The sequence below is a fragment of the Homo sapiens genome, chromosome X (genome assembly GCF_000001405.40).
Source record: "Homo sapiens chromosome X, GRCh38.p14 Primary Assembly".
Classification (NCBI taxonomy): Eukaryota; Metazoa; Chordata; class Mammalia; order Primates; family Hominidae; genus Homo; species Homo sapiens.
The window spans coordinates 48,972,348-48,997,567 of record NC_000023.11 but is presented as its reverse complement, the minus strand read 5'-3'; the positions used below and the strand labels follow the sequence as shown (position 1 = coordinate 48,997,567).

Sequence of the window (25,220 nt, the reverse complement as noted above, 5' to 3'; positions counted from 1 at the left end):
TTCCCTTCTCTCTACCTTCCCATGTCTTTATCTTCCTTTCCCTGTCTCTCATTTTATCCCTCCCCATGTCTCTTTCTCCTATATCACCTCATTCTCTGTACCCTATGTCCTCTCCCACCCATGTCATTTTCTCCCTCTCTCTGTTTCTTTGCCCTACCTCCCTATCCTTTTTGCCCTTGCTGGAGTCCTGGCCCTTGTCTGCCACTGCAGGAAGTCGAGGTATTGCTGAGTGAAAATGAGATGCTGCAGGCAAAGCTGCACAGCCAGGAGGAGGACTTCCGTTTGCAGAACAGCACACTAATGGCCGAGTTCAGCAAGGTGCTGGTGCCTGGGATAGTCAAAGGGGAAATGAGGGGTAGGGGTCATCTGGGCTGAAACCTAACAGCGGCAGAGAGTGATTGGACAGGGTCTGGCCCTGGAGCACTGTCCGTGGTGCTGAAACAGGTCCTGGATTGCTGCTGGGGGGCAGTAATTTGACAGATGGGGCCGCTCACTCTGCTGGGATTAGAAGGCTTTGAGCCCTGAGGTCACCTGGTTCCTGGCCAAGTCACTCCTTTTATTTGAGCTTCAAGTCTCCATGTGTATAATGTGGGGTTGATGCTGTGGTGCTCCAAGGTGTTGGGGGGTTTTAGGCAGAGTTCTTATGCTTAATATAGGATGGAAAAGTGTTCGAGCTTCTTCCCTTTTCTCTTTCTTCTCTTCATCTGACATGAGCCTGGGGTTCTACCTCTTCCAGATAATTCATCCTGGAGCTACTAATTCTATCTCCCCATTGATTTTAGTGTCCTGTCTGTTTCTAAATCTACTGGGCAGTTGGAGACATTGTCTTTTGTTCCCTCATCTATCTTCTGTATCCACAGTTGATAATTGTCTATGTTTTTAGTGTGTTTTAAGGAAAAAAGTCTCATGGCAGCAAATTTTTTTGAGATGGAGTTTCACTCTCATTGTCCAGGCTGGAGTGCAATGGCATGATCTCAGCTCACTGCAACCTCTGCCTCCTGGGTTCAAGCGATTCTCCTGCCTCAGCCTCCCAAGTAGCTGGAAGTACAGGCATATGCCACCATGCCTGGCTAACTTTGTATTTTTAGTAGAGATGAGAGAAAATGACATGGGTGGGAGAGGACATTTAGTAGAGAAAATGACCATGTTGGTCAGGCTGGTCCTGAACTCCCGACTTCAGGTGATCCACCCGTCTTGGCCTCCCAAAGTGTTGGGATTAAAGGCGTGAGCCACCGCGCCCGGCCCAAAAATGGTATTTCTAAGGCTCCATCTGAGAATATAGTGCCTATGACCTTAAAAAAACAAAACCGAAAATAACCTTTAAGCAGGTACAATACCAGGAGAGGCAGTTGAGCAAGTAGTAGGTACCAGCAGGGACTCTGGAACCAGAAGGCCTAGATTAAAATCTTGGCTCTACCTTTTACTAACTGTAACCTTGAGGAAGTTACTTAACTTGCCTGGTTCTTGGTTCCCAAATGTTTAAAATGGAAGTCATGATAATAACAGTACCTGCCTCTTCACAGGGCTTTTGTGAGGATTAAATGAATAAATGTACGTAAATCACTTAAAACAGAGCCTTGCACATAGTATCAGCTATGGAAGCATTAGTTATAATATTATCCTTCTATTAACTCATCTTCCCTCTAAAATATTTGACTTTTTAAAAGTTTTATGGCCGGGCGTGGTGGCTCAGGCCTGTAATCCCAGCACTTTGGGAGGCCAAGGCAGGCAGATCATGAGGTCAGGAGATGGAGACCATCCTGGCTAACGTGGTAAAACCCCGTCTCTACTAAAAATACAAAAAATTAGCCGGGTGTGGTGGCACGTGCCTGTAGTCCCAGCTACTCGGGAGGCTGAGGCAGGAGAATCGCTTGAACCCGGGAGGCGGAGGTTGTAGTGAGCCAAGATTGCACCACTGCACTCCAGCCTGGGCGACAGAGCAAGACTCTGTCTCAATTTAAAAAAAAAAAGTTTTATATCCACCCTGTGGCCCTGCTTTGCCTTAGCCTCTACCACTTATCATCTGCTGTTTCTACAGCCGCCTCCCTGGTCTCTTCACTTCTAGTTTCTTCTACTTAGTTCACACCACAGAGGCTGTTCTGACCTGCAGATCTTATGACATCACTCCTTTACTTAATACATTCCAGTGCCCCAGTCCTGCTCCTAGTTCAGAGCCCCTGGTATTCACATAACTGCTGGCTTCACTGACTGACTCCTCACTGCTTCCTGCCTCCAGCCTCCATGGTATCATGATTCTTGCAGAGTGAGGCAGGGGCAGACATTCTTCCATAAATCCAGCTTGTTTCCCTGCATCTGCCCTGGGCCAGCACTGGGCTAGTCGTAGAGACTTCCTACATAGTCCCCTTCCTCCTCCAACTCCTCCCAGGAACTGGAAGTGCTCTCAGAGAGAGCTACGTTAAACCTGCCACCACCCCTTATTCATCAAGACATTTCAGCTTAATTGTTCCTTCGACAAATAGTTACTGAGTACCCACCACATGCTCTATGTTCTGGAAATACAGTTGTAAGCAGCACAGAATGATCTCCACTCTTGGGTAGCTTACATTCTGGGGGTGGGATGAGGAGAAAGATGATAACAGTAAACAAATAATACTAGTAGTGATAGCTGACATTTATATGGTGCTTACTGTGTGCCAAGTCCTGTTTGAAGTACTCTACATTATTCACTCATTTAATCTTTGAAATAAGCCTATGAGATATTAGTATCCCTATCTGACAGATGAGGAAAACTGAGTTCCAGGGAGATTAAGTAATTTGTCACACAGCTAGTAAATGGCAGAGCAGAAATTCACATTCAAGCAGTCTGGTTTCAGAATCTGTGCTTGTTACAAAAGAAAATTTTGATTAGTACTAGGTAAGAAAGAAATGAACAGTGCTGTGACAGAGAGTACTGGAATTTTCTGTGTTGAGGGATACTACTTTAAAGGCAACATCTGAGCAGAGCACTGAGGGATGCAAAGAAGCCAGTTAGGTGAAGAACTGGATGAGAGGATTGGTGTTCTGGGTAGAAAATATTGCAAGCAGGCCGGGTGCGGTGGCTCATGCCTGTAATCCCAGCACTTTGGGAGGCCGAGGCAGGTGGATCACCTGAGGTCAGGAGTTCAAGACCAGCCTGGCCAACATGGCGAAACCCCGTCTCTAATAAGAATACAAAAATTAGCCGGGCACGGTGGCGCATGCCTGTAGTCCCAGCTACTCAGGAGGCTGAGGCAGGAGAATCACTTGAACCCGGGTGGCGGAGGTTGCAGTGGGCTGAAATCGTGCCACTGTACTCCAGGCTGGGTGACAGAGCGAGACTCCATCTCAAAAAAAAAAAAAAAAAAAAAAGAAAGAAAATATTGCAGGCAATAAAATAAAAATTCTCTGTAGGCCTCGATATTCTCATCTGAAAATGGGGACAAGGAATTTTCTCAGGACTGCTTTGAGAAGTGTACTTCAGCCAGGAGTTGGGCAGGGGGCTGGCTTAGTTGTATTGGCATTGTATACCTCTCCAAGACTAACGGCTGGCAATGCAGGAGCTGTCATCAGTGTTGGCCCTGGAAATGCCCTGCGAGCTCTTTGTGGTGCTTAGGATGAGAGGGAGCTATCTCTGGGCCCAGGATCCAGCCCTCCACAGAAGAGGGGTTGCAGTGAGGCTGTCTGTAGCACTAACAACTTCCAGAGGAGCCTGAGGTCTTGGATTGCATCTCTGAGGTTGGGAGTAGGAAGAGGAAAATGGTTTTTGGTGTCCTCATACTTGGTATGCTCTTGGTATTCTCTGACTCTGCCACTTAAAAGATGTGTGAATTTGAACTTGTTTAACATCTCTGTGCCTCAATGTCCTTATTTGTAAAGTGGGAGGGCACCTATATCATAGGGTCATTATGGGAATTAAGTGAATTGTAAAGTACATGGACAAATGCTATGTAGGTTTCAGCAAATACTGCTCTGATTCTCTGCTTCTCTGCCCCTTCTCTTCCTCTGTTCAGCTCTGCAGCCAGATGGAACAGCTGGAGCAAGAGAACCAGCAACTGAAGGAGGGGGCTGCAGGAGCAGGGGTTGCCCAAGCTGGGCCCCTCGTGGATGGGGAGCTGCTGAGGCTACAGGCTGAAAACACAGCCTTGCAGAAGAACGTGGCAGGTGCATAGAGGCCCTCCTGGGGATGCGGAGACATTGGGGCTTGAGTAGGGCAAGGAAGGCCGTCATCCTCTCAGGGGAAGGAGAAGGGCTTCAGAAATAGGGTTGGCCCATGCCCTGTGTGGCTTTGGACAAGCCATTTCACCTCTCTGAGCCAAAGCCTTATCATCTACACAGTGCATGTAGTGATGTCTGTCACCCAGAAGATTGTAGTAGAGATAAAAGGTGATATCATTCTGCATTAGTTCAGTGTCTGGTACCTAGCAGATGTTACAGATTAGCAGCTTGAATGTCAAAAAGGAGATATTTGCGGCCGGGCGCGGTGGCTCACGCCTGTAATCCCAGCACTTTGGGAGGCTGAGGCGGGCGGATTGCGAGGTCAGCAGATCAAGACCATCCTGGCTAACATGGTGAAACCCCGTCTCTACTAGAAATACAGAAAATTGGCCGGGCACGGTGGCGGGCGCCTGTAGTCCCAGCTACTCTGGAGGCTGAGGCAGGAGAATGGTGTGAACCTGGGAGGTGGAGCTTGCAGTGAGCCGAGATCACACCACTGCACTCCAGCCTGGGCGACAGAGCGAGACTCCATCTCAAAAAAAAAAAGGAGATATTTGCTAAGTGAAAAAGTGAATGGAGTGTTGGGAAGATTCTGAGCCCAGATTGTAAGTGGGGTCTGGGATGAAAGCTGAAAGAAAGCTTGATAGAGTGTGGGAGCATGTGGTGTGTGGAACTTTGGAGAGCAGCTGGGACTTCTGTGGTGATGGATGCTGGTTCCATGACCAGGAGGGAGACTTAGTAGAATGTGAGTAGGAATTAGGAGGCTCTAGGAGGGATTCAGCTGTAAGTCAGTGGTAGCATATGGTGGGCATGGCCTTCAAGGGCTATGGGTGGGGCTTCAAGGATTGAGAATGGGATTTGTGAAACCAGCTTGGGCTAATTTAATAGTAAACAGAATCTTAGTGGTTGATAGGGCTTAAAATATTTGTGAGAGCCTGGGCACAGTGGCTCATACCTTGATTCCAGCACTCTGGGAGGCTGAGGCAGAAGGATCTCTTGAGGCTAGGAGTTTAAGACCAGCCTAGGCAACATAGCAGGAACTTGTGTGTACTAAAAATAAAATAATTAGGCCAGGCACGGTGTTTCACACCTGTAATCCTAGCACTTTGGGAGGCCAAGGTGGGCAGATCGCCTGAGGTCAGGAGTTCAAGACCAGCCTGGCCAACATGGCAAAACCCCATTTCTATTAAAAATACAATAATTAGCCAGGTTTGATGGCAAATGCCTGTAATTCCAGCTACTTGGGAGGCTGAGGCAGGAGAATCACTTGAACCTGGGAGGCAGAGGTTGCAGTGAGCCGAGATCACACCACTGTACTCCAGCCTGGGTGACAGAGAAAGACTCAGTCTCAAGAAAATAAACAAATAAATAAATAATAAAATAAAATTAACTGGGCATGGTGTGCACTTGTAGTCCCAGCTACTTGGGAGGATCGCTTGAGCCCAGGAGTTTGAGGTTGCAGTGAGCTATGATTGCACCACTGCACACCAGCCTGGGCAACAGAGCAAGACTGTCTAGGGAAAAAGATTTTTTTGAGACGGAGTCTCACTCTGTCACCCAGGCTGGAGTGCAATGGCTCGATCGCGGCTCACTGCAACCTCTGCCTCCTGGGTTCAAGCGATTCTCCTGCCTCAGCCCCACGAGTAGCTGGGATTACAAGCGCGTGCGCCACCACGCCCAGCTAATTTTTGTATTTTTAGTAGAGACGGGGTTTCACCATATTGGTCAGGCTGGTCTTGAACTCCTGACCTCATGATCCACCTGCCTTGGCCTCCCAAAGTGCTGGGATACAGGCGTGAGCCACCGTGCCCAGCCACGGAAAAAGATTTTTGGGGGAGGCTGAGGTGGGAGGATTGCTTGAGCTCAGGAGTTCAAGACCAGTCTGGGCAATGTAGCGAGACCTTGTCTCTACAAAAAAATCAAAAAATTAGCCCGGCATGATGGCACACACCTCTGATCCCAGCTACTTGGGAGAGTGAGGTGGGAGAATCACTTGAGCCCAGGAGGTCAAGGTTGCAGTGAACTGTGATCATTCCAGTGCACTCCAGCCTGGGTGACAGAGCAAGTCCCTGTCTCAAAAAAAAAAAGAAAAAAATGTGAGAGGCATGGATAGAGCTGAACCTTCGTCTTTTAGGCATGTGGTCATTTGGCACAGGGACTCTGCCACCTGAGGGGTTGAAGGCCAGTTCTCCCTCTATTCGAGGCATGGCAAGGGACTTCAGAGACCACCTCATCCATCATATATCCCTGTTCTACTCACCAGCCCTGCAGGAACGCTATGGGAAAGAAGCCGGGAAGTTCTCAGCTGTCAGTGAGGGCCAGGGGGATCCCCCAGGGGGCCTGGCCCCCACCGTCCTGGCCCCCATGCCGTTGGCAGAGGTGGAGCTGAAATGGGAAATGGAGAAAGAGGAGAAGAGATTGCTCTGGGAACAGCTGCAAGGCTTAGAGGTGAATCTGAGTCTGTTGGAGCTGGAATGCCAGAAGGCAGGGCAGATGTTCTACCTCTGTCTATAGTCCCACGGAGATGGCTGTGACATCACCATCTTGTGGGCTGATGGGGTGAGGGAGGCAGGAGGGCAGGGGAAGGCTTCTCCTTGTCCTTGCTAACAACAACCCTCCCATCCCTCATCCTTCCCTGCAGAGCTCAAAGCAGGCCGAAACATCCAGGCTGCAGGAGGAACTTGCTAAGGTGCGGCTGCTTGGCTCTTTCCCATTCTGCTCCCAATCTGCTGGATTCTTTCCCATTCCATTCCCAATCCTAGGGCAGAAGGGGCATTGTACCCCATCAAAGCCTAGGTTTCATCATCTGTGAAATGGAGAGACTCACACCTATGTCTCAGAGTTACTTTCAGTATGGAATGAGTTAATGTGGTCCCACTATATCTTGTGCATGATAAGTTTCATCCCATCCATCTCTCAGCTTTGCCCATTCACTCATTCATTCATTCATGCAAGCATTTACAGACTCCTGGCTCTTATCTTAGGACCTGGAGACCCAGGGGTGCGGCACCCAGTCATGATATCCTGCTTTCCAGGCCTCCCAGCCTAGCCAATCTATAACATGGCCATTGGCCACTATGTTGGGAGCATAAATACCGGGCTTTGGAACCTGAAGGATCTGGGTGGAGATAATATTGTTGTTGCTGACCCGCTGAGCAACCAAATTACTTAACCTTTCCAAGACTCTGTTTCCCCATTTGTAAAACTGGTACTACTCACTTGTCAGGGCTATTTTGAGGATTCCACAAGACAACATAAGTAAATCCTGGCTTCCAAAAATGACTTAATAAGAAGTGTCTATATTTATTAATTTTAGGTTTGTCTTTATATTATTCTCAATGTTATCACTTGTCTGTACCTCTCTCCCCAGCTCTCCGAGAAACTGAAAAAGAAACAAGAAAGGTAAATTTCTTTTTCCCAAGGGTACTGGGGGCCGAGGGGGGAATTAACTTACGGAACTGACCCATCTACATCTGTCCTTCTGTGCCCAGTTTTTGCCGTCTGCAGACAGAAAAGGAGACTCTGTTTAATGACAGCAGGTAACTGCCAGATTTGCGGGTATTGGTGGACAATTGGGACAGTGCCCAGTGAAGATTACAGGGGCAGAGCTAGGAGACTGGGCCTCAAGCCATGTCCAACACACCCCCTCCCCATCACTCCTAGGAACAAGATTGAGGAATTACAACAACGGAAGGAAGCTGATCACAAAGCCCAGTTGGCTCGAACCCAGAAGCTGCAGCAGGAACTTGAGGCTGCCAATCAGGTGATGGGGACTGGGTTCTGAGATCCCTGGGGTAGGGGCCAGGACTGGGAGCCTGGAGAGGTCTGAGGTCCATGGAGGCTGGCTGGGGAGTCTGAGATTTCCTGTGTTGGAAATGGGTTCTGGGGCCCCCCAGGAGCTAGGAAAATGGGAATTGGAGAGCCCTAGGAATTGTTATAGGAGTCTTCATGAGTGTAAGATCTCAGGGGGCTAAGGACTTAGGGGGCTGTGTGCTATAAGTTTGTGTAAATCTGAAACTCCTGGAGGTTTGAGACCACAGTCTGGATGAATCTGTGGTCACTAGGGCCTAGGACCAGGAACTGGGGTAAGTCTGAACTCCCTGGGTGCTGGGTGACTTTGAAATCTTTAGGGGCTGGGATGTCAGTAAATTTGGGACTCCCAAGGGCTGAGGACATGGCTGGGTAGATATACAACTTTCAAGGGTGAGATAGTTGGGGCTGAAGGCTGAGTGCATTTGAGATCCTCAGGATCTGGGCGCTGGCTTGGGCCTAAGACACCTAGGAAGTGGGATCATATGGGCTAGGTAGTCCTGAGATCCTTGAGGGCTGTGAACAAAAAGCTGGTCAGTCTGAGACCTCCAGGGGCTGGAGCAGAAGTTTAGGTGGGTCTGAGGCTCCTGAGGACTGGGGGCTGGATGGTTCTGAAGCCTCTGGGTTTCCTTCTAGAAAAGGTGAGTCTGAGGTCCCTTGGAATGGAGGATATGGTGGCTTGTGGTTCTGAAGTCCCTAGAAACTGGGAACATGGGGTCTGAGACGGGAGTCTGGGTAAAGCTGAGACCCCCAGGAACTGGTGGTTAACTGGGTCTGAAGATTCCAAGAGACTGGGGAGCAGAGTGACAGGTGAAGGGGTCAGTCTGAGAGTTCACCAGGACCTGGAAACTAGGAGGTTGTGAGTTTGAGACCTCTAGGATCTGGGACTATGAGTTTGGGTGGATCTCACCTGGGAAGTAGGGACGTGGGAGATGAGTGTGTCTGAAACCCCTGGTGGTTGGGATTGGGAGGCTGGGTGAAACTGTCATCCTTGGGTGCTGACTACATCTGAGATCCATGGGGCTGACTGTGTCTGAGAATCCTGGAGCTCCCAAGCTAGAATCTGGGTGAGCATGAGACTTCTTATGGATGGGAGCTGAGTGAGTTTGAACCGCGTAGCAGCTAGGGCCAGGAGTCTAGTCGTGCCTGAGATCTTGTACGCTGGGATAGAGGGGTTGACTGTGTCTGAGGCCCCTGAGGGTAGTGACCTGGCGTCTGGGTGAACCTGAGATTGCTGTTGGCTGGATAGTCTGAGACCCACAGGTGCTGAGAACATGCTGCTGGGTGGTCAAACAGAGAGTCTGTACGGTTATATGCACCCCAGGAGAGGCTGAGGTGTAAAATGGGCTCCCCTGGTCTCCACAGAGCTTGGCAGAGCTGAGAGATCAGCGGCAGGGGGAGCGCCTGGAACATGCAGCAGCTTTGCGGGCCCTACAAGATCAGGTATATTGTACTGCGTGGGCTCAGGGAGCTGGGGTTCAGGATGGGGGCAGCCTGAGTGGGTACTACATAGTCAGGCAAGGTCCCAGGGATCCTGCTTCCCCCAGGCCTTCGTGTGTGTGTGTGTGTGTGTGTGTGTGTGTGTGTGTGTGTGTGTGTGTGTGTGTGTCCTTTCTTTCTTGGTCGTGGGTAGGTCCTGTCCCCCTGTTCTGGACCCACTCTCACCTGCTGTGGACGTGGGGCCAGGTATCCATCCAGAGTGCAGATGCACAGGAACAAGTGGAAGGGCTTTTGGCTGAGAACAATGCCTTGAGGACTAGCCTGGCTGCCCTGGAGCAGGTAAAGAACACCTGGGGGCCCTTGCTGATCCCTCTCCAGTTCCCCCATCTCCATCTGCTTCTGGTCCACATCAGGGTAGGGTGGTCTGGACCCCATGCTGTTCTCCTGTCTTTGTTTCTGTTGCTCCTTTCTGTTGGCGTCCAGCCCTCTTCTCTCTGGCCATCCATCCCTACTTTTTTTTTTTTTTAACTTTTAAAAATTTTATTGGGGAGGCTGAGGCAGGAGAATTGCTTGAACCAGGACCCAGGAGGCAGAGGTTTCAGTGAGCCGAGATCGCACCACTGTACTCCAGCCTGGGCGACAGAGCAATACTCTGTCTCAAAAAAAAAAAAAAAAAAAAAAGGGCGTGGTGGCTCATGCCTGTAATCCTAGCACTTTGGGAGGCCAAAGATGTGTGGATGGCCTGAGCTCAGTTCAAGACCAGCCTGGGCAACACGGTGAAACCCCATCTCTACTAAAATACAAAAAATTAGCTGGGTGTGGCGGTGTGTGCCTGTAATCCCAGCTACTCGGGAGGCTGAGACAGGAGAATCTCTTGAACCCAGGAGGCGGAGGTTGCAGTAAGCCGAGATCGTGCCATTGCACTCCAGCCTGGGCAACAGAGCGAGACTCCGTCTAAAAAAAAAAAAAAAAAAAAAGCCGGGCATGGTGGCTCAATTCTGTAATCCTAGCACTTTGGGAGGCCGAGGAGGGCGGATCACCTGAGGTCAGGAGTTCGAGACCAGCCTGACCAACATAGAGAAACCCCGTCTCTACTAAAAATACAAAATTAGCTGGGTGTGGTGGTGGGCACCTGTAATCCAAGCTACTCGGGAGGCTGAGGTGGGAGAATTGCTTGAGCCCAGGAGGTGGAGTGTGCGGTGAGCCGAGATCGTGCCATTGCACTCAAGCCTGGGCAACAAGAGTGAAACTCTGTCTCAAAAAAACAAAAAACAAAACGAAAAAAAACTTATTGGCCGGGCATGATGGCTCACACCTGTAATCCCAGCACTTTGGGAGGCAGAGGTGGGCGGATCACCTGACATCAGGAGTTTGAGACCAGCCTAGCCAACATGGCAAAACCTTGTCTCTACTAAAAATACAAAAATTAGGCCAGGCGCAGTGGCTCACGCCTATAATCCCAGCACTTTGGAAGGCTGAGACGGGCGGATCACCTGGGGTTCGGAGTTCGAGACCAGCCTGGCCAATATGGTGAAACCCCGTCTCTACTAAAAATACAAAAAAAAATAGCTGGGCATGGTGGCGCACACCTGTAATCCCAGCTACTCGGGAGGCTGAGGCAGGAGAATTGCTTGAACCTGGGAGGTGGAGGTTATAGTGAGCCGAGATTGTGCCACTGCACCCCAGCCTGGGTGACAGAGTGAGACTCCATCTCAAAAAAGAGAAAACAAAATTATTTTGTAGAGACAGGGTCTCACTATGTTACCCAGACTGGCTTAAACTTCTGGCCTCAAGCTATCTTCCCACCTCGGCCTTCCAAAGTGCTGGGATTATAGGTGTGAGCCACTGTGCTTGGCCTATCTCTGCTTTTTTTTTTTTTTGTAGACGGAGTTTCGGTCTTGTTGTCCAGGCTGGAGTGCTATGGCACGATCTCGGCTCACTGCAACCTCCGCCTCCCAGGTTCAAGCGATTCTCCTGCCTCAGCCCTCCCAAATAGCTGGGACTACAGCCGTGTGCCACCATGCCCAGCTAATTTTTGTATTTTTAGTAGAGACGGGGTTTCACCATCTTGGCCAGGCTGGTCTCGAACTCCTGACCTCATGATCCACCCGCCTCGGCCTCCCAGAGTGCTGGGATTACAGGCATGAGCCACCGCGCCCGGCTTCTGCTTTTCTTTGTTTCTAGTTTCTCTCTAGTAAAGTGCATGAAATGTACTAATCTTAAGTGTACACTCAGTGAATCCTCTCTTCGTCTCTCTCTTTTTTTTCTCTCTCTCTCCCCGCCACCATAGCCACCACCCAGATCAAAGTATAAAGCACTTTTAGTACCCCAGAAGGTCCCCTTTACCCCTTCAAAGTCAGTACTCCCCCAGAAGTAACCATTATTCTGATCTCTAGCAACATAAGATTCATTTCGCTTGTTCTTTAACTTCATATAAATGGAATCAGCTGCTCTTTGTCTCTGACTTCTTTCTGGCAGCACTATGTAAGTTTATCCACGTGGCAGCACAGATCTGTTCTCTTACTGTTGTGTGGTATTCCATTGTATGAACATACCACATTTACCCATTCTCTTCATTGTTTTTCTGTTTGAAATTTCCTCTCTCTTCCTGGTTCTCTTCCCACCTCCCTCCCTGTTTCCCTGGAACTAGGGGGCTCATACCCTGTCCCTGGCCCCTGGGGTCCCTTTCACTCTACTTCTCATCACCACTACTTTCTCCAGATCCAAACAGCAAAGACCCAAGAACTGAATATGCTCCGGGAACAGACCACTGGGCTGGCAGCTGAGTTGCAGCAGCAGCAGGCTGAGTACGAGGACCTTATGGGACAGAAAGATGACCTCAACTCCCAGCTCCAGGTAACACCTTTGGCTCTGGCCTGTCTCTTCCTAGTTCCCTAGTAATGGCCCAGTGAAGTCCCCAGTAAGGTGGAGTGGGAAGACTGGAGTCAGGAGGACCTAGGTTCCAGTCTGGCTCCCTAACTTATTAGCACCTGTGTGTTCTGGGACAAGTCATTTCACTTCTCTGAAACTGAGCCTCTTCAGTTAGTTAGGATATCAATTCTTTTTCATTTTTTAAATTTTAATTTAATTTAATTTTTTTTTGAGATGGAGTCTTGCTCTGTCACCTAGTCTGGAGTGCAGTGGCGTGATCTCGGCTCACTGCAAGCTCCGCCTCCCGTGTTCTCGCCATTCTCCTGCCTCAGCCTCCCGAGTAGCTGGGACTATAGGCGCCTGCCACCATGCCCAGCTAATTTTTTGTATTTTTAGTAGAGACGGGGTTTCACCGTGTTAACCAGGATGGTTTCGATCTCCTGACCTCGTGATCTGCCCGCCTCGGCCTCCCGAAGTGCTGGTATTACAGGCGTGAGCCACCACGCCCGGCTCCTTTTTTTTTTTTTTTTTTTTTTTTGAGATGGAGTCTCACTCTGTTGCCCAGGCTGGAGTGCAGTAGCGCGATCTCAGCTCACTGCAACCTCCGCCTCCTGGGTTCAAGCGATTCTCCTGCCTCAGCCTCCGGAGTAGCTGGGATTACAGGCGCCTGGCACCACGCCCAGCTAATTTTGTATTTTTAGTAGAGACGGGGTTTTACCATGTTGGTCAGGCTTCTCAAACTCCTGACCTCAGGAGATCTACCCGGCTCAGCCTCCCAAGCAATATCCATTCTGATTCCATAATAGAAACCAGAATAATAGTAGATTAAATAAGATACAAATTTAGTTCCCTCTCATTAAAAGTCCAGGTAGGTTATTCAGGGATGGAATGATGGCTTTCCAGTCATCTGTGACCCAGGTTCTTTCTCCATTGCTGTTCCTCCACCTTCAACACAAGACTTTTATCTTGGCATCCAAGACGGTTGCTGAAACTCCCCGACCATCATGTTTGTATTCTATCTGGAAGGAAGGAGGAAAGGGGCAGGGAAGAGTGTGCCCCTTTCCTTTAAGAGCATAACCTAAATTACACTCACCACTTCCACATACAGAAATAAATCACATGGCCACACCTAACCATAAGGGAGGAGGGGAAACATCTGCTAGACAGCTGTATGCCCGATGATAAATTTTATTGCTAGGGAAGTAAGGAAGAATGAATACTGGGGAGCAACTAGCAGTCTCTGCTATATTTCCTATCCAGAAATTGAGATCACAATACCAACTTTACCAGGGAGAAGGGAGATGGTCTACCAGATGGTCCTGGGTGACTAGCACCTACTGGATGCTCTTTATCAAACTCTTTCCCTTTGGTGTCTGCATTAGGAGTCATTACGGGCCAATAGTCGACTGCTGGAACAACTTCAAGAAATAGGGCAGGAGAAGGAGCAGTTGACCCAGGAATTACAGGAGGCTCGGAAGGTAGGGGAACATGAGGGTTGAAGGGAGAGGATGGGGGGTAGGAATTGGCTCAGTCCATGGGGATGGGAGGAGGTGATATAACCAAACATGTGGGGATAGGAGGGAAAGGAAAATTGACTGGTTTCTGGTTGACCAGTTTCTTGGCCAAATCCATGAGAGTGGGAGGGGAAAGAAAGAAAGTGACCAGTTCTATAAGGATGGGTGAGTGCCTTAGCCAGTTCAGTGGGGATGGGAGGGAGTGGAGTTTGGCTAGTTCCTTGGGCATGGGAAGAGGGTTGGAGGCCTTTTTTCGATGTTGTGGAAGGAAGTTGACTGCCATCGTCCTGGCCCCCAGAGTGCGGAGAAGCGGAAGGCCATGCTGGATGAGCTAGCAATGGAAACGCTGCAAGAGAAGTCCCAGCACAAGGAAGAGCTGGGAGCAGTTCGTCTACGGCATGAGAAGGAGGTGCTGGGGGTGCGTGCCCGCTATGAGCGTGAGCTCCGAGAGCTGCATGAAGACAAGAAGCGTCAGGAGGAGGAGCTCCGTGGGCAGATCCGGGAGGAGAAGGTGGGTGGGTAGATGATGATGCCCTTCTTCCTCTAAAACCTGGGAACCACAGCGTTGCTGATAGGCCAGTGGGTGGCATGCATCAGGTGCCCGCTCCTCTGCCTTCCTGGCCCATGACAGTCTGCCCCATCCCAGGCCCGGACACGGGAGCTGGAGACTCTCCAGCAGACAGTGGAAGAACTTCAAGCTCAGGTACATTCCATGGATGGAGCCAAGGGCTGGTTTGAACGGCGCTTGAAGGAAGCCGAGGTGAGTTGGTGATGCCTGGTGAGGAACAGAGGCTGATTGGGGCCCTCATGTCAAACCACAGAAGCAGGAGTGGTCAGGCCCTGGAACTTCCCGAGATTTTCTGGACTTAGGGATATCCCCACAGTCCCCTGGCTCAATAGCAGCCCTCTGGAGTGGATCAGGGGATGGCCATCAGATAGGACAGACTGTCACGTGTTAAGGCTGCCCTGCCTTTGTGCAAATTTGGAAAGGCACCTCTTTCTCCTGAAACTGTACTTCTGTCAGGAAATTAATGCAATACACTGATGTTATTGAACAAGAACCTGCTGGGTGCGGTGGCTCACGCCTGTAATCTCAGCACTTTGGAAGGCCGAGGTGGGCGGATCACTTGAGGTCAGGAGTTCAAGACCAGCCTGGCCAACATGGTGAAACCCTGTCTCTACTAAAAATACAAAAATTAGCCGGGCATGGTGGCTGGCGCCTGTAATTCCAGCTACTCAGGAGGCTGAGGCAGAAGAATCACTTGAACCCAGGAGGCAGAGGTCGCAGTGAGCTGATATCGTGTACTGTACTCCAGCCTGGGTGACGGAGTGAGACTCTGTCTCGGAAAAAGAACCTTTGTTGCCATTTTCTGGAAATCTCATAATACACTGAAAGGCATTGTCATGTAGCAGTGAAGAGCACAGGCTGGAGCCAGTTGTTTGTCTAGGTTTGAATCCTGGCTGGGCCATTTCCTAGCTGTGTGACCTTGGGCAAGTTATCTGACCTCTCTGTGGCCTGTTTTCATCAATGGTAAAAAGGGGGTAACAATAATATCTACCATCTAGGTATTACGGGAGGATTATAGAAAATGAGTTAATATATGTAAAACCCTTAGAACATTCTTGGCATGTAGTAAGCGCTATGTTTTGTTAAATAAAATAAAATGTAAATGCAAATCTAAGTCAACCATGCGAATGGTGCAACTTTAGATGTGACACTTCAGCATATTGCCTAAGGGCGTGTGGGGTTCCCTGCAGGAGGGTCATTTCTGCATACCTCTGGGCCCCCATTGCAGTCCCTCATACCCCTAACTGGGCATGATACCTTCTGGGGGGCTGTGGCCAGACCTGGGACTTGTCTTGTAGGAATCCCTGCAGCAGCAGCAGCAGGAACAAGAGGAAGCCCTCAAGCAGTGTCGGGAGCAGCACGCTGCCGAGCTGAAGGTGCCTCTCGCATGATGGTGTTCCTCTCTCCAGACAGTGACGGGCCCTCCTGGGAGGACAGAGGCTTCCCAAGCCAATGCCTAAGCTGCTTTCTGCTTTGCAGGGCAAGGAGGAGGAGCTACAGGATGTACGGGATCAGCTCGAGCAGGCCCAGGAGGAGCGGGACTGCCACCTGAAGACCATTAGCAGCCTGAAGCAGGTCAGTGGTCACTGCACAGCCCCAGACACACCCCTGATCCTCAGCGTACAGGAGGGGCAGGGAGGGAGCATGCTTCAGGCAGCCCTTCCGGCATCTACCAGCCATGCCTGCTTTCTCCCACAGGAGGTGAAGGACACAGTGGATGGGCAGAGGATCCTGGAGAAGAAGGGCAGTGCTGCGGTAAGACAGAGCGGTGCCCAAGCACGGCTCCCTCCTACCTGTAGCCTCCCTCCTATGGGCCCACTGGGCCTCAGTCCTCATGTTACCCCTGTCCCCCACAGCTCAAGGACCTCAAGCGGCAGCTGCATTTGGAGCGGAAACGGGCAGATAAGCTGCAGGAGCGACTGCAGGACATCCTCACTAACAGCAAGAGCCGCTCAGGTGAGGGACTAGGACAGGGAGAGGAGGCTGAGGCATGGGGGAGGTAGGGCCTGGGCCTGCAGGCTGCAGGTTAGTCCTGCATCTTCCTCAGCTGTGCTTTCCTGCTTCTGTCGCTCTGGAACTCCATCTTTTACCTTTTCTCTGTCTCTCCTCTGATTCTTTCTCTGCATTCTCTCTTTATTTCTATCTTTCTCTCGTTTTTGCCCTGTCTCTTCTCTGTTTCTGTCTCTGCCTCTGTCTCAGTTTGTTCTCTCTCTTTCCTCTATGTTTGCCTTTATCTCCTTGCTTTCTTTCTCTAGTTTTCTCCTTTTCTCTCTCTTTTTTTTTTTTTGAGACAGAGTTTCGCTCTTGTTGCCCAGGCTGGAGTGCAATGGTGTGATCTCGGCTCACCGCAACCTCTGCCTCCTGGATTCAAGCAATTCTCCTGCCTCAGCCTCCTGAGTAGCTGGGATTACAGGCATGCACCACCACGCCCAGCTAATTTTGTATTTTTAGTAGAGACGGGGTTTCTCCATGTTGGTCAGGCTGGTCCCGAACTCCCGACCTCAGGTGATCCGCCCGCCTCAGCCTCCCAAAGTGTTGGGATTATAGGCATGAGCCACTGGGCCCGGCCCCCGCCCTTTCTTTTCTCTGTCCCTTTATCTCTTCCCGCCACTCTGTGTCCTCTTCGTCTCTTCTGTTTATATCTCTGTCTGTCTCCTCACTGTATGTACTACATTACACACTCCCACACCTCACTTGGCATTTCTAAATCTATTGTATACAATCTCTCATTCTATAAATCTCCCTGCTCAAGTACAGGGTCCCTGATATAAAACTCCCTGAGTCTCTGCCCTCTAGAAGCCCCCAGTTGAGCTACGGAGACAGACTTATACATAGTCAGCAACGCTGTGGTGTTTTCATTATACAGCTAATCCAATCTGTTATTTCTGCCACTTCAAGCAGAAGACACACACACACACACACACACACACACACACACACACACAACTTTAGTTGCTTCAGCCTTTTTTAAGACGGGGATGGCCTATAAATACATTTAAGTAAGTAAAATGCAGTGATGGCTCTGGTGCATCTCTTAGATTACAGACTCAGAGAAAACTTGGTCCCTTATTCCCCCACTCGGGATACCTACGGATCCCCACTCAGTCACCCCACCCTTGCCAGAGATCCTCGAGGGCTTTAAGTGATGTGGCAAAACAGATGTGTATCTCTCACCAAATCAATTTCTCTCTGAGGCACTCGGTCTCCTGAAGTAACCTTTCTTTAAAAAGGAGTTTTGTTTCTGTTTTATCACAGATGAATGTAAGAATCTTGGGAAAGGTGTAATCCCAGCACTTTGGGAGGCCAAGGTGGGTGGATCACCTGAGGTCAGGGGTTCAAGACCAGCCTGGCCAACACGGTGAAACCCCGTCTCAACTGAAAATACAAAAAATTAGCTGGGTGTGGTGGCGGGCGCCTGTAATCCCAGCTACTTCGGGAGGCTGAGTCAGGAGAATTGCCTGAACCCAGGAGGCAGGGGTTGCAGTGAGCCGAGATTGCGCCATTGTACTCCAGCCTGGGCGACAAGACTGAAACTCTGTCTAAAAAATAATAATAATAATAATCTTGGGAAACGTTACAATCGTATACCATACATTCAATACATTCACCTTGTCCATTAGATTAAACTGAGATTTAGGTGCGTGGGTACGAGAGCCTGCTTGCATTTCTTTTTTTTTTTTTTTTTTTTTTTTGTTAGACGGAGTCTCGCTCTGTCGCCCAGGCTGGAGTGCAGTGGCGCGATCTCGGCTCACTGCAACCTCCGCCTCCCGGGTTCACACCATTCTCCTGCCTCAGCCTCCCAAGTAGCTGGGACTACAGGCACCCGCCACCACGCCCACCTAATTTTTTGTATTTTTAGTAGAGACGGGGTTTCACCGTTTTAGCCAGGATGGTCTCGATCTCCTGACCTCGTGATCTGCCCGCCTCGGCCTCCCAAAGTGCTGGGATTACAGGCGTGAGCCACCGCGCCCGGCATCTTTTTTTCTCTCTGTCTCTGCTCTGGCTCACTTCTTTCACCAGGGTCTCAGTTTCTATCATCTGCTCTGGCTTTCCATCTCTGGCATTTTCTTTCTGCAAGTGGATGTGCCCTGTGCCCTCTCTAGCTGTCTTCCTTTCTCTGAACCCTGTGTCCAAGTGTGTCTGCCACTTGAGACCCATGTGTACCCATGTCGTTCTCTTTCTCCAACCTCTTCCATTTTCTCCCTCTCATTTTGTATGTGTTTCTCCAGAAAGGCAGCTCTTTCTTTTCTTTCTGTTTTTTTTTTTTTTTTTTTTGAGACAAGAGTCTCACTCTGTCACCCAGGCTGGAGTGCAATGGTGCGATTTCGGCTCACTGTAACCTCCGCCTCCTTGGGTTCAAGCGATTCTCCTGCCTCAGCCTCCTGAATCGCTGGAATTACAGGCACACACAACCACACCTGGCTAATTTTTGTATTTTTAGTAGAGACGGGGTTTCTTCATGTTGGCCAGGCTGTTCTCGAACTCCTGACATCAAGTGATCAGCCCACCTCAGCCTCCCAAAGTGCTGGGATTACAGGTGTGAGCCAGTGCGCCCAGCCTCAGCTCTTTTTTCTGTCTCTGTCTCTCCCTGTCCTCCTGTCTGCTTCTGCCTTTCCCCATGCCCAGGTGTCTCTCTTTCCATCTCTGTTAAATCTATTTCTGCCTCTTCCTGCTGGTTGCTGCCCTGGGACTCAGGGGTATTGGGGCTCAAGTTTCTCTTCCCTCCACCACCCAGGCCTTGAGGAGCTGGTTCTCTCAGAGATGAACTCACCAAGCCGGACCCAGACAGGGGACAGCAGTAGCATCTCCTCCTTCAGCTACCGGGAGATCTTGCGGGAAAAGGAGAGCTCGGCTGTTCCAGCCAGGGTAAGGGGAAAGGAAGAACCTACAGCTCCAGCTTCTCTCAACCCAAAAATCTGAGAACCCCTCCCCTTTTCTCCTCACCTAAACCCATCTCCTACTTTGGGCGCAGCACACATATTTTCTTGTCAACTTTTCCCCAAGCCCACCAACTTGGATTCAGATTGCGACATGCAGGACAGGCCAGTCATTCTCTCTCTCTGACTTTCTGTTTAATCATCTGTGGGCTAATTCCCCCTTCTCTGGTGCCATAAATTATGTGGCTCATAGTAGGTGCACCATCCAAGGAGAAGGTCCCTTTTTCCAACTTGTAATGATCACTAATTATTATTGCCGGCTGTCATGTCAGCCTCCTTACCAGCCACTTTCCTTTGGAAATAACTTTTTTATTGTTCCACAAATAGTATGTGCTCATTGTAGTACATTTTTTAAAAACCACAAATGAGCAAAGATTTTTTTAAAACCTTAAATGTCTGGCCGGGTGTGGTGGCTCATCCCTATAATCCTACACTTTGGGAGGCCAAGGTGGGCGGATCACTTGAGCTCAGGAGTTTAAGACCAGCCTGGGAAACGTGGTAAAACTCCGACTCTATTTAAAAAAAAAACAAAAACAAAAAAACCTTAAATGTCAAAAAAAAATAATATTTTCACCATCCAGACGTCACCATTATAAATTCTTAGTTCAGGGCTGGGCGCGGTGGCTCATGCCTGTAACCCTAGCACTTTGGGAGGCTGAGGCGGGCAGATCACTTGAGGTTAGGAGTTTGAGAACTGGCCTGGCCAACATAGCAAAACCTCATCTCTACTAAAATACAAAAATTAGCCGGGCGTGGTGGTGCGTGCCTGTAGTCCCAGCTACTCGAAAGGTTGAGGCAAGAGAATCGCTTGAACCTGGGAGGTGGAGGTTGCAATGAGCCGAGATCACACCACTGCACTCCAGCCTGGGCAACAGTGAAACTCCATCTCAAAAAATAAATAAATAAAATAAATTCTTAGTTCATACCCTTCCAGAATTCTCTCTCTTTTTAAAACCTAGATGAGATTAACCTGTTTTTTATTCAACTGTTGTCTCTACCTTCCCAATTTGATCAATTTTCATGTCATTGGCTGGGTGCGGTGGCTCCTGCCTATAATCCCAGTACTTTGGGAGGCCGAGGCGGGCAGATCACTTGAGGTCAGGAGTTCAAGACCAGCCTGGCCAACATGGTGAAACCCCATCTCTACTAAAAATACAAAAATTAGCTGGGCGTAGTGGCGCGTGCCTGTAATTCCATCTACTCGGGAGGCTGAGGCAGGAGAATCGCTTGATCCTGGGAGTTGGAGGTTGCAGTGAGCCAAGATCTTGCCATTGCACTCCAGCCTGGGCAACAAGAGTGAAATTCTGTCTCAAAAAAAAAAAAAAAATTCATGTCGTCTGATACTTTGACCTTAACCAGATTTCTCTAGTTGGCCCCAGAATGTCCTTTCTTGCTGGTTTTATGAAAACTAGCATTCAGATTCAGAGCACATGTTACATCTGGTTGTTTTATGGCCCTTAAATCTCTTTAGTGCGGTCCCTTTTTTCCTGAGACCAATTTGTTGAAGAGGCCAGCCCAGTCACCCCACAGGAAGTATGCTACCTTTTGGGTTTTTCTGCTGGCTTCCTGGTGGTATGATTTAACATGTCCCTCTCTTCCAGTTTTCCTGTCAGCTGAAAGTTAGATCTCATTTGCTTTGGGATCTTCCTTCAATCCTCTCCACAAGGCTCTGATGTGGTTACTCTCTACCCCCATTTAGGCAGAGGAGAAAACAGAGTCTGAGGGTACCAAGATGGGCCAACAGTCCCAGCTTCAGGGCCCATGTTCTCTCACCCACCTCTGGCCTGGTTCTCCTCCCCAGTCCCTGACACCTGTCTGGGGTCGGTGGTGCTGAGCCCGGGGCTGGCCTCTCCCCTTCTCTTTCCTGCAGTCCTTATCCAGCAGCCCTCAAGCCCAGCCCCCTCGGCCAGCAGAGCTGTCAGATGAGGAAGTGGCTGAGCTCTTTCAGCGGCTGGCAGAGACACAGCAGGAGAAATGGATGCTGGAGGAGAAGGTGCTGCCTGCCTGCCTGCCTGCCCATCCCCACTTGAAGTGCCCTTGTGGGTGTGGGGTCTGCCCGGGCCCGCCTCATGTGTGAACATGTACAGTAGAGGGGTCTCAGGTGGGCTGGGCCATCTTGCAGGTGAAGCACCTGGAAGTGAGCAGTGCTTCCATGGCAGAGGACCTCTGCCGGAAGAGCGCCATCATTGAGACCTACGTCATGGACAGCCGGATCGGTCAGTGTCCCCTCCCCGGCCCTCAGCCCTGGTCCAGCCTTCACCTGGCCCTCCCTCTCCATTCTGTGCTGCGGCTTCTCTCCTCTCCTCTCGGAACTCAGCGAAGCTACTGACAAGACCATGGCCTGTGGAGGGGAGAACAGGAAAGCACTGTCTCTTGATCTCGCCTCCTCCCTCTTCTCTCTTTCTCTGTCATCTCTCCACTCTCCATTCTCCATTGTGTCTCTCTGTCCACTTTCTCCTTTCCTCTCCCTGTGCCTCATCTTCCTCTCCTCTCTCTCTCCCTTCTCTCTTCTCCGTTTCTCTTTTTCACCCCACTCCTTCATCTTGTCTCGCTGTCTATATTGTTTTCCTTCTCTGTATCTTCATTGCTTTTGCTTTCTTTCAAACTTTCTCCTTCACAGATTTTTCTTTATTAATCAGAATCATACTGACCAACATGTGCTGAGGACTTTCTGTGTGCTCTGTGCTTCACATACAGTCATGTGCATCTTTCCAGTTCCACAAGTTAGTTATCCTCATTTCTCGGGGCCATAGAGCTAGTGAGTGACAGAGCTAGGTTTTGTATGTCAAAGCCTCTGTCCTACATGACATGGCTTTTCCTGCTGCCTTCTCCCCTGGTATTCGTCTCCCTCTTTTCTCCTCTGGCTCTGCCTGGCTCTCCTCTGGCTCTGCCGAGGGGGTGGTTTTCAGCCTGGGCCCTTGCAGATGTGTCTGTGGCAGCAGGCCACACAGACCGCAGCGGGCTGGGCAGCGTCCTGAGAGACCTAGTGAAGCCAGGTGACGAGAACCTTCGGGAGATGAACAAGAAGCTGCAGAACATGCTGGAGGAGCAGCTCACCAAGAATATGCACTTGCACAAGGCAAGTGTGGCCTGCCAGCCTACCCATCTGTTCACCCAGCCACCTGCCTACCCAGCCACATAGCCCCTGGGTCATCTGCCAGTCCCCTTGCCCACCCACCCAGCCTGTCCTCCCAGCTATCCTCCTACCCACTCATCAACTACTCCATCATGCTCTCATCTTCCACCCTCTCATCAACTTATTATCCATTCATTCCTTCCATGTACCCGCTCATCCATTTATCTACACATTCACCCAACCATTTGCCCATCTGTCCATCTACCCAATCTACTACTTACTTATCTCATTGTCTACCCCATGTCCTGCCACCCATTTCTTGACATATCATTCTCTTATCTACTCATCAATTGCCCCTTGTGTTACCTTTCACCCACCCAGTTACCTGCCTGCCCACCTGTTGATCTCCATCTGTCCTCTGGACAATTCATTCGTCCACCAATTTGTCTACCATAGATCCCCCATGCCCATGGGTCCACACACACATCTTTCTGCCCAAACTGCCACCCAAGGACTTTCCCCATCTCTGAGAGTTAGAAAGGGGTCAGACCCAGCTCCTGCCTTTGAGAAGCAAGCTCACACTTAGAAGAGCAGGTGGCCAGAGTGGTGGTGTATCCTGCAGCAGCACCATGCCACAGGAGGCATCCCACTCCCATTATCTGTAGCTCCCCACCCATCCTCATGACTTTTCTGAGCCCTGCCCACTGTTGGGGGTGCTGTGAGCTTCTCCAAGTACCTTCTCATCCCAGGCCAGACACAGCTGAGCATTGATTAATGAAAGGGTGTGAGGGAAATCACAGATGATACCCTACGTTTGGCAAGGGAGCAGCCTGTCCCCTTCTCTGGCCCCTGATGGTTCATTTGTTTCTTAGGATATGGAAGTTCTGTCCCAGGAAATTGTGCGGCTCAGCAAGGAGTGCGTGGGGCCTCCTGACCCAGACCTAGAGCCAGGAGAAACCAGCTAAAGACCTGCAGGCTGCACCCACCTCCTCCCCTTCCTACCCCCTAGGATGCTATTCCCTTGGGCTGTGGTGGAAAAATGAGGGCTGGAGCCAAAATCAAATAGCTTGGGAGACTGGACATTAAAGGGGCTAGAGGCCTGATGGTTAGTGTTAATGATCCTGTCTTAGGGCAGAGGCCACCAGGGAGTGGGGATCCTGAGGGAAGGGGCAGGGATTTCTCCTTCTTCTTGGTCCTGGCTCCCAAGGGCTTCTGTCTTCATCTCTGCATGAGCTCTCCTTCCCAGAGACCAACTCTTTTTATTTTATTTTATTTTATTTTTTAATTTATGTCTGGAGCCTGGCTACTCTGCATTTGGGATTGGGGATGCTGGGTGGGTGTGTGGTCCATGTTCAGCGTTCTAGCAACACGTGTGTGTGTGTGTGTGTAAAGGCTATGCAGCCAAAATACCATCTGGCCAGACGGGCCCACCCACTGACTGTCTCGTCTCGTTCTTTTCAACCAGGAGGAATATGCTGGGGGCGGGGAGGTTTACACCATTGGAATAGGGAGAGAGGTCTCTGGCTGCAACGTTACTCTCTTTTCCCCACCCTCATCCAGCCTGTCTCCATTTACTGCTGACCAGCCCCTCAAACTGAGTGGAGCTGAAATACCTGCAGATATGTACATGGGTAGACATGTATGGGATTGTGGGTATAGATGAGTAGACAGATGGGAGGATGGATAAGTGGTTGGATGGACCGATGGATGTATAAGTGAACGGTTGCATGGACTGATGATGGATAGATTGGGAAATAAATGGATGGATGGATAGGTGGTTAGATGAATAAATGGGTAGATAGATTGGTAGGTGGATAGAGGATGGATAGTAGAGATGTAAATGGACAGATGGATAATAGGTCTATGGACAAATGGGTGGATGATTTAGGTAGACAGGTGGATGGATGGGTTTATGGACAGGTTAGGAGTAAATGGACCAATGGTTGGGGGAATGGATGGATGGGTAGATGAGCTAATGAATGGGAAGGGTAAAGAGTGGGAGAAGAAATGACAAGTGGAGCTATGTATGGACAGAGATGGGCAGAGGATGTCACCCTGCATGTGTTCCGGGTGGGAAGAGATGGGCAGAGGATGGATACATACAGATAGATTGGCAAACAGCCAAATGGGGTGAACTTACAAATGGATGAATGAGTGGGTGGGTAGATTAACGACTAAGTGGACGGGTGGGTGGAGGGATGGATAGAGGAATTGATTGTGTGGGTGGGAGAATGGGTGGATGGGTAGGTGGAGGAATGGATGTAGAAATGGACAAATCAGGAGTGTGCCAAATGGGCAATTGGAAGTTTACACGGGTGGGTAAATCTTGGGTGAAAGGCTAGGCCTGGCCCTGCATTACAGTGCCCCTGTCATCACACTCCTTTAATTAAGATTAAGCATCCCTGGTGTGAGCTGTGTCCAGTGCTATCACCTTTCACATCATGTAATGCTCCAAATGACGCTATCAAGTTGGGATAAGTCTCTCCATCTGACAACTGAGGAAACAATGCAAGTCACTTGCTCAAGGATGCAGCAAGTCAGTGGCAAAGCTGGGGTTTGAACCCACCCATAGCCAGCCAGAGGCATTCCATAATCAGTGCTCCTGCCATCCAGAAGCAGAGCCCTCTAGCGGAGGAGGTGTGATTTGAGGCCACTGGATATGGACAGATAAGAGAGACTACCCCCTCGGAGTGGGGCCTGCCTGAGATGGTAGGGGGGTGGGACCTGGATTGTCCCCCTCTACATTCCCTTTACCCTCATTTCATATCTAAAAACAGGAAGTCCCGTGCTCCAATCCCACAGCCGAAGTC

General features: G+C 50.0%; 1 protein-coding gene across 1 annotated transcript in view, besides 2 other annotated features; it reads left to right on the top strand.

Moving 5' to 3' along the window:
- Positions 1-23,845, top strand: part of GRIPAP1 (GRIP1 associated protein 1) — a 28,542-nt gene extending 4,697 nt beyond the window's left edge. The window contains exons 5-26 of the mRNA NM_020137.5: positions 211-318; positions 3,990-4,140; positions 6,458-6,642; positions 6,836-6,883; positions 7,565-7,596; positions 7,686-7,733; positions 7,858-7,957; positions 9,370-9,447; positions 9,691-9,783; positions 12,166-12,300; positions 13,698-13,793; positions 14,128-14,340; positions 14,476-14,589; positions 15,696-15,773; positions 15,877-15,972; positions 16,096-16,152; positions 16,254-16,353; positions 19,133-19,263; positions 21,205-21,327; positions 21,457-21,550; positions 22,259-22,413; positions 23,283-23,845. Coding sequence (NP_064522.4) covers positions 211-318; positions 3,990-4,140; positions 6,458-6,642; positions 6,836-6,883; positions 7,565-7,596; positions 7,686-7,733; positions 7,858-7,957; positions 9,370-9,447; positions 9,691-9,783; positions 12,166-12,300; positions 13,698-13,793; positions 14,128-14,340; positions 14,476-14,589; positions 15,696-15,773; positions 15,877-15,972; positions 16,096-16,152; positions 16,254-16,353; positions 19,133-19,263; positions 21,205-21,327; positions 21,457-21,550; positions 22,259-22,413; positions 23,283-23,375 — 2,328 coding nt within the window. The 3' untranslated portion in view covers positions 23,376-23,845. The remainder of the gene's footprint in view (positions 1-210; positions 319-3,989; positions 4,141-6,457; positions 6,643-6,835; positions 6,884-7,564; positions 7,597-7,685; positions 7,734-7,857; positions 7,958-9,369; positions 9,448-9,690; positions 9,784-12,165; positions 12,301-13,697; positions 13,794-14,127; positions 14,341-14,475; positions 14,590-15,695; positions 15,774-15,876; positions 15,973-16,095; positions 16,153-16,253; positions 16,354-19,132; positions 19,264-21,204; positions 21,328-21,456; positions 21,551-22,258; positions 22,414-23,282) is intronic.
- Positions 257-551: a silencer, noted in NCBI's record as "tiled region #9113; HepG2 Repressive non-DNase unmatched - State 16:ElonW, and K562 Repressive non-DNase unmatched - State 15:Elon". NCBI's record gives its function as "represses a minimal TATA promoter and a strong SV40 promoter by Sharpr-MPRA in HepG2 and K562 cells {active_cell/tissue: HepG2 | K562}" and the evidence as "EXISTENCE:reporter gene assay evidence [ECO:0000049][PMID:27701403]".
- Positions 13,512-13,768: a silencer, noted in NCBI's record as "fragment chrX:48840212-48840468 (GRCh37/hg19 assembly coordinates)". NCBI's record gives its function as "represses an EF-1alpha promoter that drives an FKBP-Casp9 reporter gene in an ReSE screen in phorbol 12-myristate 13-acetate-treated (for megakaryocytic differentiation) K562 erythroleukemia cells {active_cell/tissue: K562(+PMA)}" and the evidence as "EXISTENCE:reporter gene assay evidence [ECO:0000049][PMID:32094911]".